This window comes from Homo sapiens, chromosome 6 (assembly GCF_000001405.40).
Source record: "Homo sapiens chromosome 6, GRCh38.p14 Primary Assembly".
NCBI classification, from domain to species: Eukaryota; Metazoa; Chordata; class Mammalia; order Primates; family Hominidae; genus Homo; species Homo sapiens.
The window spans coordinates 132,071,429-132,086,060 of record NC_000006.12 but is presented as its reverse complement, the minus strand read 5'-3'; the positions used below and the strand labels follow the sequence as shown (position 1 = coordinate 132,086,060).

The 14,632-nt window shown below is 37.5% G+C and overlaps 1 long non-coding RNA gene across 4 annotated transcripts in view, besides 1 other annotated feature; it reads right to left on the bottom strand.

Annotated features, from left to right (window-relative positions):
• The window catches only part of CCN2-AS1 (CCN2 antisense RNA 1), a 200,374-nt gene that overhangs the window by 16,265 nt on the left and 169,477 nt on the right, over window positions 1-14,632 (bottom strand). Inside the window, exon 4 of one of the 4 annotated variants that reach the window (NR_187595.1) lies at window positions 11,164-11,268. The exons of the other annotated variants lie outside the window; for them this stretch is intronic. This is a non-coding gene — a long non-coding RNA (CCN2 antisense RNA 1). The remainder of the gene's footprint in view (window positions 1-11,163; window positions 11,269-14,632) is intronic. 4 annotated transcript variants of the gene reach the window in all.
• Window positions 559-738: an enhancer, noted in NCBI's record as "active region_25069". NCBI's record gives its function as "activates an Ori minimal core promoter by ATAC-STARR-seq in GM12878 lymphoblastoid cells {active_cell/tissue: GM12878}" and the evidence as "EXISTENCE:reporter gene assay evidence [ECO:0000049][PMID:35858748]".

Below are 14,632 nucleotides of genomic sequence, written 5' to 3'. Positions count from 1 at the left end.
TATTTTTATCCCTAAAAATGCCCGGTTACTTTATTCTTCCTGGGGCTGTCCCAAGCCTGGGTACTTGCACCACCAAGACACCGTGGCTTATCTGTGGCTGCTGCATAGCTACAGGGGCTGCAGAATTGGGAGGTCTAGGGACTGCCAAAGGATTGGACACATTGCAGCACCACCACGTGACATGCTTTCCATTTGTAATTCTGTTACTGATTTGCGTTTCCCAATGAAAGGCATCCTTGCACTCAGAGACAGGAAGCTATAAGAAGTGATTTCAATTCTGTTATAATTGGCCAGGTTATGGGGCAAGGTATTTTAGTTTCTGTCTTGTTCTCTTCCTTTGCTAAAGAGGAGCTTGGACTGAGGATTTTTTAGTTTCCTACCCTGGTCATGCATTCTATGATTTTGTGTAGTTTATCGTTAGTTATCCAGTAACTTACAATGTTGTCTTGTGTTTGGAGTTTCATGGTTGTCTTGTTGGTTTCTTTTTGTTTGGTTTTGGTACTTCTGTCCTCACAATCCTAAGGAACACAGTATTAGGCAGAAGCTTCCCTCATGTCTTTAAACAAGCAGGCCAGTCTGGGTGCGCTTACAAAAGGCACAGACCCTATTGCACAGCAATCATGTTTTCTAAGGTCAGAGTGAAAGCTAGAAGACAATTGGCTGGGAGATGTTGCCTGGGAAAATTCGCAGAGTCCTCTCACATACTTTTACATTATCCTCCAAAGTGCCTCAAGTTCTATTTATTCTTACAGCACTGAAATAACCCCAGCATACCTCTGAAACAGTGCAAGAAAGAGTCTCTTTTTGACTTCGCCATGTATGGTTTCAATCTGACAGTTTCCATTTTCATATCACATGCTGTTCCTGCATTGGGTTCTCACAGGCCTGACATATAGCCATGTCTCCCCCAAAAGGGTAAGGGATGCTTGCTGGGAAGAGGCACATAGAAATTCCATCCAATTACTTGAGGGTTTTATTCTTAACATAGCACTGAATAGTTTAATATCTCTTCTTTCCTGTTATAAATAGGTTCTGATGCCTATCACTGTAGCTCACTGAGAAAGAATGCAAACAGTCCCAGGAATGAAATACTCAGGAAGGCTGTTCTGCTTGGTAGGAGGTATTTTATTTTAAATGACAACATTTTCCTCTCAGACACAGAGAAAGCCTTACATTTTTGACCTGTGAGTTTCTCCTCTTTAGGAATGACATGATGTTTCATATGAGAAAAAGGCAAAAGAAACAAAGAAGGAGGAAGTGACATCAGTAATAATAACGTGCTAAAATAATATCTTTCTTTCCTCAGCTTTTTTTTTTTTCAAGTTGGAGTCTTGCTCTGTCACCCAGGCTAGAGTCCAGTGGCACGATCTCGGCTCACTGCAACCTCTGCCTCCCGGGTTCAAGCGATTCTCCTGCCTCAGCCTCCTGAGTAGCTGGTATTACAGGTTCCTGCCACCACACCCAGCTAATTTTTGTATTTTTAGTAGAGACAGGGTTTCACTATGTTGGCCAGGCTGGTCTCGAACTCCTGACCTCGTGATTTGCCCTTCTCAGCCACCCAAAGTGTTGGGATTATAGGCGTGAGCCACCGCACCCGGCCTCCTCAGCTGGTCTTCAAAGGAGCATTCGTTACTGTGACCAAATCTGTGTGTTCATGCTGCATTCTCCCGGAGCAAATATCATCCATGTGAAGGTCTGTTCAGAAGGACACCTAGAAAGGGCCAACAACATGAAGCAAGTGGAAGCACATTATAAAAGGCATGAATTTGAATCCATAGCATTGATAAAAAATCTCAGGAAGAGGGTTGCGCCGAGAGGCTCATGCCTGTAATCCTGAAACTTTGGGAGGCCAAGGTGGGTGGATCACCTGAGGTCAGGAGTTCAAGACCAGCCTAGCCAACATGGTGAAACCCTGTCTCTACTAAAAATACAAAAATTAGCCGGGCGTGCTGGCTCATGCCTGTAGTCTCAGCTACTCGGGTGTCTGAGGCAGGAGAATCGCTTGAACCTGGGAGGCAGAGGTTGCAGTGAGCTGAGATTGTGCCACTGCACTCCAGCCTAGGCAACAGAGTGAGAATCGGTCTCAAAAAAAAATCATCACAGGAACATAGTTTCAGAAGATAGACTTGTTCTTTTTCTCCTATACAAGGAAATGTAGATGTGAGAAATGATCTGTATGTATTATTACCTAAACAGATTTTTTTGTTGAATGGATACCAACCAATGCAGCATGTAAGAAACAAATACATGAAGACAGCTACAATTATAAAATTTCCTGGTTTAATTATCGTAAGTTATCAGATATTTGTAGAGGGGATAATGAGGTTTTGATTTCTGAGTGTAGAAATATTTCTCATTCCTGCTACAAGATAAGGAGAAGGCCCCTGATAAAATTTTATGTCTCTTGATTGTAGTAACAAAATATGATTCTAAAGAGTTTCTATGTCCTTTAAAGTCAGATAAAACTTACCTTTCCCCAAGATTGCCATATCTCAAACTCAGCTGCACATGACAGTAATCTCCAGTTTTTGCATGACTGCAATTCTTTTTTTGACCTGAGTCCCTAGTTCTGCCATTAGAAGGTTGTAAGCTGTGTGCATTTCTGAATGTATACCATTTTAGTAATTCTGGATCTTTTGAAGCATGTTAGAATAAAGAAAGTATTCAGAGCTGATGATATATAGAAATATCTAAACACACAAAAATGATGTTAAATGATGTTTGATTTTGAACAGTATGATAAAGAGTTTTGAATTATAGGCTGGCCCATATTTATAGTAAAAATCAGATTTCTAATGATACCCCCCAAATAGCTATGTCTGTAATCTGTAACAAATGACATTTTTCTTGAAATCATAAATAGGAAATTATTTGAACACTTATCCTAAGAGTTTTTCAGTTGGCTCTTGGTCTAAGAAACATAAACCTATCCAAAATCAGGGAAATATAAGTGCAGTAGTAGTATTGGAGTCTTGAAACATTCCAAAAAAGCAACATACTAAGTTTGTTTTGCTAGTTCAATCTGACTGTGTCAATCAAACCCTAATGACTTGCACACACAAAGGTTTTATTTCAGGCACTTGAAATTTTTACATAAAGTTAATAGAGTATCTAAACAAAGTTGTTTTTAAATTGAATCTTCTAAACTGCTTTTACTTTCCTCTTTCCTTTCAATGACAGCATCCATGTTATTAATAATTATCATCCTCACCCAGGTCTAGCAGATACACAAAGTGGCTATTAAAATGCTTATAAAGTTGACTCTGCTCCTATAACAAGCATATACACATGACTATTTTCCCCTAATCTCAATATACTCTTCAAATAATTTCTATTGAAGTGAGCTCATTTCTGTTTCATGGCATTTGGGATGTTTAGCATGACCCTCATCAATCCAGCCCTAAGAGGTCATTTTTCTCCTGGCCAATTAATTACTCAGTAAGGCTGTGCCATCTGCAACCAAAATATCCAAATAAAATAAACATTTTGAGAATTACATACAATGTGGTTAATCATTGTACTCATGATATTGACTCATGTACCTATAAAGTCTAAATCTAAAGAATAGAAATTCTTTATCAAAAGCCATCTTGACCCACGTGTCTTTAAAAAATACAATGGAAATTCGAAGAGCAGAATAATTAGAAAGCAGAAAATGTAAAGGCAGAGTTTCAAAGTGACCCAGATCCATACTGGAGGTCAGTCTACCTTTACAGTTTCCTCATACAAAAAATAGAAAGAGAAGGCAGCCAGGCGCGGTGGCTCATGCCTATAATCCTAGCACTTTGGGAGGCTGAGGTGGGTGGATTACGAGGTCAGGAGATCGAGACCATCCTGGCTAACACGGTGAAACCCCACCTCTACTAAAAATACAAAAAAAATTAGCTGAGCATGGTGACACCCGCCTGTAGTCCCAGCTACTTGGGAGGCTGAGGCAGGAGAATTGCTTGAACTTGGGCGACAGAATGAGACTCTGTCTCAAAAGAAAAAGAAAAATAGAAAGAGACACCTTTAGTCCATTTTCCCTTGTCAAAGTAGACAGAGATCATTTAAAATCTGGAACTCTTTAGGTTTTAAATCAAGAAACCAAATACCTACAACATGGTACCTTATGATAGATGAGAAGTACAGTAAGTCATGTTAGAAGGTGCGGTGTATAAAGCCATGTGGGGATCTGAATAATAGACTGACCTTTCTAATTAATATTAAAGCAGTTCGGCTGCTAAACAAATGGAAATAACTGAAAATAGTCATACTACCAAGTTACAAGCAAAAGCTATTAAAATATGCTTTTCCCCCACATATACAGACATTTCAAATGGATGTAACTGCACAGAGAGGTATGAGCCAGTAAAAAGCAGACAATAATTAGTAAGTTGTCTTATATAAAAATTAGAACAATCTTGAAAGCTTGCACTTTATACTTGGGAAGGATGAGCTTTGATCTTAATTTCAGTTAAAAGCCACTATTACAGGTACTATTTCCTTTTATTTGTTTAAACTTTTAAAAACCAATGTCAGCAATTTCACATTCTCTCTTATACCTGGAAAAGTGCTGGTTGAAACTTACAGGTTATCTTTCAGTCCTTTACTCATTTCACTTTTTATCTCTAAATGAAAAGTTGGGAAAATAGTCTCTCCACTAAGAGTATCTTCAGTATACTCCTTGTTTATCTATTTCATCGTGGCTATATAGTTTCCTGGGTTTCAGACATACCACAATGTAAAAGTTGTGAAAACCCTTTAACATACAGACTGTGCTTTTTGCATGCCGAGAAGGGAAACCATACAAAGAGTGTTTCCAAAAGAAGTGTTGATGTCTCGGGGAAGAATGTGGAGGAAGTTTCCAAACAGGAAGACAAAATGTCCTTTCAGACAACTTAGGATATCATTTGGTAAAGACATAGCATGAAGATATGAAAGGTCATAAGAAGTTTGACAAATATTTTTAATTTTTGGAGAAGACAAAATGAGAAAAAAATGAGTATAAACGGTATCAGTGAAGAGGTCTATAAAACATTAAAAAATAAACCTTTATTATTTTCTCATAAGCAATATTGCTGAGTATCCTTTTATGTGCTTAGCATTTTATTTGGTTTTGCAGGGGACTCAGAGGTTTTGACACAATCACTTCCCTCAAAGAGTTTACATGTGTACATAAAATTAATAAAACAGGGCAAGGAGAGATGAAATAAGGTTGTGACTGTGACACTAATAATATGTGTACTAGGACTCAGCAAAAGAACAAATAGGAAGTCAAGAGTTGTCAGGGAATTAGACATGGCGAAGGAAAGACTTGAGCTGGACCCTGAACGTAAGTAGAAGCTGATTGCAGAAGATTGAGAAAGGGTTGGGGAGGGGTTATACAAAGGGGAAGACTGGAATTTCCAAAGCCCATACAGAACCCAACATGGTGAATAAGAAGAGATTACTGAGGGTACTGGTGTGCATGGAGAAAGGCCACATGTTGGGAAATGAAAGGATATTATGTTGGAAGGGTAGAGTGAAGTTATATATAATCCAAACAGGACTAAAACCCTATGTGATAAGTGATGAAGGGCCACTGTGCTTTCTTTAATACAACTTAGGCCATGAGTAAGAAAAGCATTTTTTTGAAATTTTTACAGGACTCTTAAAATGTTTCAACAACTGGGACTTGTTCAGGAAAATGTTCTAAGTATTTATAACCTAAATCCTAAATTTTTGTAGATAAATGTGATTATTTTTACCTAGGCCTGTATCTTATTCTAGTAGCACAAATTTTGCTGCCTAATTCTGTAGGATACTTTATGGTATTCCATAAAACCTACTGGAGAATTATTCTATGCATACTTCTATAGAGGTTAAAGTTCATCTAAGGCCATACCACCCTGAACGCACCCAGTATCGTCTGATCTTGGAAGAATTTAGTTATATATAGATTCAACATAAATATACTTATTCAGTCTGTCATTCATTAATTAATTCATTCCACATTTACTTAGCACTCTGTCTCCCTCTCTTTCTGCCAAGTATTCTACTTAGTACAGAGGATGTAAAGAAAAAAAATTAGTTCTTGACTTCTATGAGTCTGGTGGGAGATTATAAACAGATAAAAAACTGAGTATAATCTAAGTAAAAGTTCACTGTAGCACCTATTTTTTTTCTTTTTTTTTTTGAGATGGAGTCTCTCTGTCGCCCAGGCTGGAGTACAGTGGCACTATCTCGGCTAACTGCAAACTCTGCCTTCCAGGTTCACGCCATTCTCCTGCCTCAGCCTCCCGAGTAGCTGGGACTACAGGCGCCCGCCACCATGCCCGGCTAATTTTTTTTTTTTTTTGTATTTTTAGTAGAGACAGGGTTTCACCGTAGTCTCGATCTCCTGACCTCGTGATCCGCCCACCTTGGCCTCCCAAAGAGCTGGGATTACAGGCGTGAGCCACCGCGCCCGGCCTGCAGCACCTATTTTAATAAGGAAGAGAGTTTTGTTTTCAGTAGCTTCTTATCAGAGATCAAATACAAAACACATAACATTCCAGGATGTCACAAGAGTCACATTTCTGTAAAAGCTTCTACTCAATGCTGCTTATCATAATGTCACAATGTCAGAATGCACAGATGGCTTGTTTGACCTGGAAGGCTCTGTACAGGTGGTGATGGTGGGCTGAGTGTCTAGAAGGAATGCAGGTGCCCTAGATACCTGGCCCAATCTTGGAAAACAATGATAACAATGGGGTTTGTACCTTTCTGCCCCCAGAAACTCTTGGAAAATACCTGCTGCAGCAACTGTGGGACCACTGTTAGCCTTAGTTCTACCAAAGGAGAGTACCTCTAAACAAGGAAAGAAATTATGCAGTGTCATTCCTTTAGGCCATCTATACCCTCACATAGTCTCATTAAATAGAGTAACTTGTGAAGAGATGGAGTATTTCAAGGGCCTCCCACCCTCAAATTATCTTGCCATGTGGTTACTGAATGGACTCAAATCATTCAATTAGAGATAAAATAAAAGCCTTGAATTATTCCAGTGAACTCAAATTTATTCCTTCAGAGATAAAACCAAAGGCTTGAATGAAGATGCTTGGTTGATATAATGCAGATGACTGAAATTCATCTGCATCAACCTAATGTGGAATCCATCTGCCACACTATAAAGGCTGGCATCGAATTCTCTTCTGGTTATACAAGAGGAGAAGGTTAGAAAGCAATTGGGAATAATGTAGCAAGAAAGGTCAAGAATGTGGAAGGTGAGGGCCATGAAAAGGAATACAAATTCCATCAACTTTATGGTTTGGTTTGGGATGAGTGTGTACCTCTGAGTATGTGTAAGTCAATGCTGTTTATAAGCTGATTGCAGTATGCTGCTGGAGTCCCACCAGTTAAGTAAGAATCATGTCACATGGCAGAAATCAACCCTGTTTGACATGATTATAAATATTTTATTTGCCCTTTTAACAAAGAATGTTATCCCCTCATGATTCCAGAAGAAGAATAGAGTAATATGTAAAGGTGGGACCTCTCAGGAGGACCATTTGGTTTCAAATCCTGGATATTCCTCTTTTGAGCTGTGTGATCTTGAGGACATAACTTGAGCAGTTTGTACTCAGGTTCTCGTCAACAAAGAGGATGAGAATGACACCTAACTCAGAGGGTTGCTGCGATGCTTAAATGCAACAATACAGAGGGGGCTCTTTATGCAATAAAAAGCTCTAAATTCATATTAGTTAATATTGTTTTTGCATAGGACTGAAAACATCCAAAGTCATTTAATCGAGACAACAGTAGGCATATTCTGGCAAAAAGGAAGACTGAGAAACTTAGGATAATTGCACATTTACATTGTGCTCTGCAGGCTATTCTAAAATATTTGGCACTTTTACAAGAGCCATGGAATATGATATCATCAGCATCTAACCCGGGGAATCTGCAGAATGGGCCGGCACCACAGGAACTGTTTTTGTGAACTACCAGAAAGAGCTTCTTAAATATTTCTAACAAGGTGACCGAATAGAAAATGGCACACGTAGGGTCTTGGGTTGAGGTATAGCCCAAGGGGATCTGTGGCAGGTGGAAATTTCTTTTACGTCTCCTTTGTGCACATTTTGTTTTCCATATCAAAATATATTGGCTTAAATATATAGAGTGTTCACAAAAAATTCTAATTCTAACAAGATGAATTCTCCAGGAAGTTCCACGTTGTTCATCCGGGAGTATCAACTACTAGGGCAACCTAGCATGAATTCTTGAGGATTCAGTGACTTCAATTTGAGAAGCACAAAAACAGGAGATACATTACGTGTGTGACAAGTTAGTGGGTGCAGCGCACCAGCATGGTACATGTATACATATGTAACTAAGCTGCACATTGTGCACATGTACCCTAAAACTTAAAGCATAATAATAATAAATTTAAAACAAAAAACAGGAGATACAAACAGAATTTTATTTAACCTACTGCCACTGAAATAGGTCATACAAATTATTTAACACATAGTTGTGATTTAAGACAAAAACAGGAAAGATAAACCTTGAATATTCTGGTTCTCTGATAATTTCCATGCTTATCAACAATTTGAAAATAATGTGATTGAGTATTTTCATCACTCAAAAAAATTTAATTTTTAATGAAAATTAAAAAATTTCATTTTTTAAATTTATTCAGAGGGTATATGTGATTCTCAATGTAAAGTCATCATATTGATCCTCAATTAATGCCTCAGGTTGTCCAAGTTACTCTTATTGAAGTTGTCACATTTTTGTACAAAGAACATCTTACAGTATGTATTTTTTAATATGTAGTAATTTATTTCTTCTTTAATGTTCTTTACTTGATCATTTTTGGCCATGGAAAAGACAGGAAGATATAGGAAATACCTAAAAGAAATAAACAAATCCAGTTAAGGTTTGACATTCTTCTATAAAACAGAAAAAAAAGTCCAGTGGGTAGCCAATAATAGCATAAAACTCTGGCTTGCCATATTCAAACAGAAAAAATGCTAATTAACAAAATACTGATTTTAATAATGTATGCATTCATCCAGTTCTTTTAATGAACCTTCATCACACTTCTCAATGAAAAACTTTAAATATCTGTTTCAATTCGTTAGATGCTTTCCAATTCCTTATAGACTTAGGTAGGGTGTGCAGTATCTCTTTTGGGGCACATAAAAGTTCTTCGATGATTATTACCAGTCATTCTAAAATACCAAAATGGACTAGTTTAATTATGTGGAAGTTAATTTATAGATATCATATTGCAGTGACAGGAATAAAAAATAATCTCTCTCCATAGAAACCAAATACAACAAGGAAATTCTAATTGAATCACATGTGTTACATGGACATGAGCCATTTCACACCACTTCCACTACTATCACTTCTGCTATATCAGTAGTCATGACCACCATCAACTCTTGCCTAGATTATTGCAGCAATCTCTTCCTTGGCCTCCACTGATCAACTACCGTCCATTCTCAGCATAGCTGCCAGATCACTTCTTATAACAATGTCATGTCTCCTTAAAAAAAAATTCTTGTCCGGGCGCAGTGGCTCAGGCCTGTAATCCCAGCACTTTGGGAGGCTGAGGTGGGTGGATATCTTGAGGTCAGGAGTTCAAGACCAGCCTTGCCAAAGTGCTGAAACTCCGTCTCTACTAAAAATACAAAATAGCCAAGTGTGGTGGCGCACGCCTGTAATCCCAGCTACTTGGGAGGACGAGGCAGGAGAATCACTCGAACCCAGGAGGCAGAGGTTGCAGTGAGCTGAGATCGCACCACTGCACTCTAGCCTGGGCGACAGAGCAAGACTCTGTCAAAAAAAAAAATTCTTAATGCTTATTAGAATTCTAAAATACACTGTTCAGCAATCTATATTTATATAATATGGATAACCAAATGGTGACATATAAAAATAAAATGAAAAATGTTTTACTTAAAGGAGATATAAGAATAAATTTTCATTGCTCCATGTTGTTGAAGCTGAGGTTATACAAATATAAATTATAGGGTTTACTACTTTTTTAAACTATTATTTTAAGTACAGGGGTACATGTGCAGGTTTGTCTTTTAACAATATCTGTCGTATTTAAATACTACCCTTGTGCCTCATTCAAAGGAGCCTAATTTTCACAACAGCCCCCAATGCTCCCTACCTTGTCTGTATTCCTGTTCCCATCCTGACCTCATCTTACTGCTCTTGCCCTTGCTAATCCACTGGGACCACTAACTGCACTCCTGCCATGAGCACACTAGCTGCATTGCTGCTTCTGGTTACACATGCTGCTCCTTCTTCCTAGAAAACACTTCCCCCACAAACTTATTCAACTAAAGTACCTGCTGTAATTTCACTCTCACTTTGACATTCTTTCTAACACATCTAAAGAAAAATTTCACTCCATATATATCTGATACTCATTTGCCTACTTCATTTCTTTTTGATAGTGTTTATCACTCTCCAACACACTATATGATTTACCTATTATGTGTAATATCTTACCCGGTCAAATGTAAGCTCCTGACAGCAGGGATTTTTTAACAGTTTTTATCTCCACTATAGTACCTATACCTGCAACAACAGCTAATCCAATAGATACTCATAATAAGGTTGTCAGATAAAATACAGGAAGGCTAATTAGCTTTGAATTTCAGATAAAGAGTGGATAAATTTTTAGTATAAATATGTCCCACGGTATGTCCCATGTAATATTTGGACCATACTTGTACTAAAAAAAAAATCTATTTGTTGTTTACCTGGAATTCAAATTTAACTGGTGTCATGTAATTTTACTTGCTAAATCTGTCAATCCTAACTCAAAAACATTTGTCAAATGAATGAATAAAAATTTTGGAGGGTGGAAAGCAGAAGGAATAAGGTAAATAATATGGCAAGTTATAGAAATTAAATACTAATTGTCAACAGAGCTGGGGTAAAGGAGGAGAGGAATGAGGAAGCCAAAAAGGAAAAAGCTGATTCATGACATGGACCCTCAAAACTATAAAGAGTTAAAAGCATCGGCTGGGCTCAGTGGCTCACGCCTGTAATCCCAACACTTTGGGAGGCCAAGGCAGGCGGATCATGAGGTCAGGAGATTGAGACCATCCCAGCTAACATGATGAAACCCCATCTCTACTAAAAATACAAAAAATTAGCTGGGGTTGGTGGTGCATGCTTGTAATCCCAGCTTACTTGGGAGTCTGAGGCAGGAGCATCACTTGAATCAGGGAGTCAGAGGGTGCAGTGAGCTGAGATCGCGCCACTTCACTCCAATCTGGCAACAGAGCAAGACTCTGTCTGGAAAAAAAAAAAAAAAAATGGCATCAAATACTCAGAAGTGGCAGTACAAAAATGCATGGGGGCAGGGACCTGGTGCAGCAGCTCCTATAATCCCAGCACCTTGGGAGGCCAAGGCAGGCAAATCACTGGAGTCAGGAGTTCCAGACCAGCCTAGGCAACATGGAGAAACCCCATCTTTACAAAAAACACAGAAACTAGTTGGGCATGGCAGCACACACCTGTAGTACCAGCTACTCTGGAGGCTGAAGTGGGAGGGTAGCTTAAACCCAGGAGTTCAAGGTTGTGGTGAGCTATGGTAATGTCACTGCATCTTAGCCTGGGCAACAGAGCCAGACCCTGTCTCAAAAAAAAAAAATGCATGGGGACGGGGTGTGAGGAACTATAAACAGGAAGATTAGATACAAGTCTTTTAAGGAAATAGTTAGACTAGTTAGACATTTAAAACCACCCCCATGTTGACAAGACAGATGACTGCTCCACCTTACTCCAGCACAAGACTACAGTTGTACCTTTTGGGTGTAAGGAACAGTAAAGGTACAAAAGACAAAACAATTGAGCAGAAATTTTGATAACATGTAACCACAATCCATTATAAAAGCTCTAAGCAAACTAGCAATACTGCAAATACTTGTCTAAGAAAAAACCTACAGCAAACATAATGCTTACTGGTGAAATGTTGAAAGCTTACGCCAGATTTTGGAAACAAAACTAAGATGTTTTCTAAAACCAACTATACTCACTACCTTGTTAATTAATGAAAGGAAACAGAATAAAACACATAAGAACTAGAAAATATGATTGTGAATGTAAAAAATCCAAATATTTACAGATAAAATGATAGAATTAATAAGTGGATTTAACAAAGTTGCAGGATATAAAAATCATTTGTATTTATATATGCTAGCAAAGCCAGTTGAAAATGTAATTTTAAAAAGATAACATTTATAAGAAATAAAATTAAATACACAAGAATAAATCTAAAAAACATGTATAAGACCTCCATACAATACTACAAAACATTTCTGGGAGAAATTTAAAAGATTTCAGTAAATCCTTATGGATTGGAAGAATTGATACTGCAAAAGTTTCAATATCCTTAAATTAATTTACAAATTCAGTAAACTCTTAATAAATAATTTTGACCTGTGAAAGGAAAATAAGTCTTGGGGCTCCAAAATCACTAAGCTAAAGTGAAAAGTCAGGCTGGGAACTGCTTAGGGCAAACCTGCCTCCCATTTTATTCAGTCATCCCTCTGCTCACTGAGATAGATGCGTATCTGATTGCCTCCTTTGGAAAGCTAATCGGACACTCAAAATAATGCAACCATCTGTCTGTCACTACCTGTGACCTGGAAGCCCCCTCCCTGCTTCAAGTTGTCTCACCTTTCTGGTTGATACCAATGTATATCTTACATATATTGATTGATGTCTCATGTCTTCCTAAAATGTATAAAACCAAGCTGTGCCCTGATCATCTTAGCCACAAGTCATCAGGACCTTCTGAGGCTGTGTCATGAGCGTCTGTCCTCAACATCGGCAAAATAAACTTTCTAAATTAACTGAGCTCTGTCCCAGATATTCGGGATTCACACACCCAAAATGAAAATCTGGTACTAAATTTACATGAAACCACAAAGGGCCAAGAATAGTTAAGCAATTCTTGAAGAATAACAAAATAGGAAAACTCAAAATGCCAGATTTCAAGATTTATCTTGAGGTTACAGTAAATAAGACAGTGTGGTATTGATGCAGGACCAAGTAGAAACAATGGAACAGAGAGAGAATGTTGAAACAACTGGGCCAAATGTATGATCTCCTGATTTACAACAGTACAGAAAAATCAATTCCATGTGAGCTGTGATGTGTAAATACAAAAGGCAAAGCAATAATATTCAAGAAGATAACATGAAAGAATATCTTCATAAATTGAGAAGGGACAGATTTCTTAAACAGGACAAAAAAAGCAGTCACAATGAAGAAAAACAATTAAAAAAATAAAACTTCTTTAAAATTAAACTTCATTTATAAATGTACCATTCAAACAGTGAAAAGTCACAGCATGAGAGAAGATATTGACAATATTTGATGAAGACCTCATGGCCAGAATAGAAAAAGAACTCCTAAAAAATAAAAAGATAACTCAAATAAGTTTTCTCACTAAACTAGTTATCCTCCACTAAAGACGATAGTCAAATAGGCAATAAACATAAAGGTACAAAATAACCAATAGGGAGATGCCAATTAAACAGTAAGTTGCCGCTGCTCACTCATCAGAATGGCTAATAGTAAAACAAATAAGCAAACACAATGGATAATAAAAAATGTTGATAAGGATGTGGAACAACTCCAACTTTCCCACATTGTTGATGGGAATTTAAATTAGGACAACTACTTTGAAAAACTGCCAAAGATTATATTTATTACCCTAGCATTTCCAGTAATAGCTATATACCAAACATAAATGAATACACAGATTCACTAAGAGACATGATGGAAATGTTCACATTATTTGTGAAAGCCCCAAATTAGAAATAACCCAGTTGTCCATCAACAAATAGAATGGATAAATAAATTACAGTATGTTCATAAAATACAAAGAAAAAAAAACTATTACTGAGCACAAAACCATGGCTAAATTTCATAAATAAATGTGATGCCGTGCAGAAAAAAAGTTTGTATTTTGAATATTTTTCCTCTATTTGAATTATATTTAAGCAAACAGTTTCCAAATGAAAGAGCATTGTGGAAAAAGAGAGTAAAAAGGAAAATAAGTCTCCAGAGTCCAAGAAGGAAGCAGTTAACAGAGGGATAAATGAGGATTGAAATTAAATCTGCCCTGAGGGCATTTTCTGATCCCTGGAACCTAGAGAACTGAGTTTTAACTTAGATACTTGCAAGGTGGTGAGTTAAAATGGAGATCTTGTGGATAAAGTTGAATCTTCCAGGACAGGAGGCAGGAGAGAGCATCTAGAAAATATGTAGCTCTTAGAAAAGAGAAGTATCAAGAAAACTTTTTAGTCTTTATTTATCTGGATTTGGGGAAAAGGTATTCAAGGCTACAGGTTTTAAGATCAAACTTTAGATGACCTGTGGGGTCTGAGAAAGCCCAAGATAAGGAATTAAATCATTAGTAGATAAATAATGTCTCAGGATGCTTGCCTGAAGCAAACAATATCTTACCTGGAGGAATACACACTCCCAGTTCAGGTGTCACAAAATTATCACAGATTAAGTTCTGAAGAGGAGCTCAAAATACAAAATTGCAAAAAATCACAAAGAAACAAGCTACCATAGACTCTCAATGTCATTTTTTCTACTTAGAATAAACTTTAAGTGAAGAAAATTCGTCTGTGGCTCACAC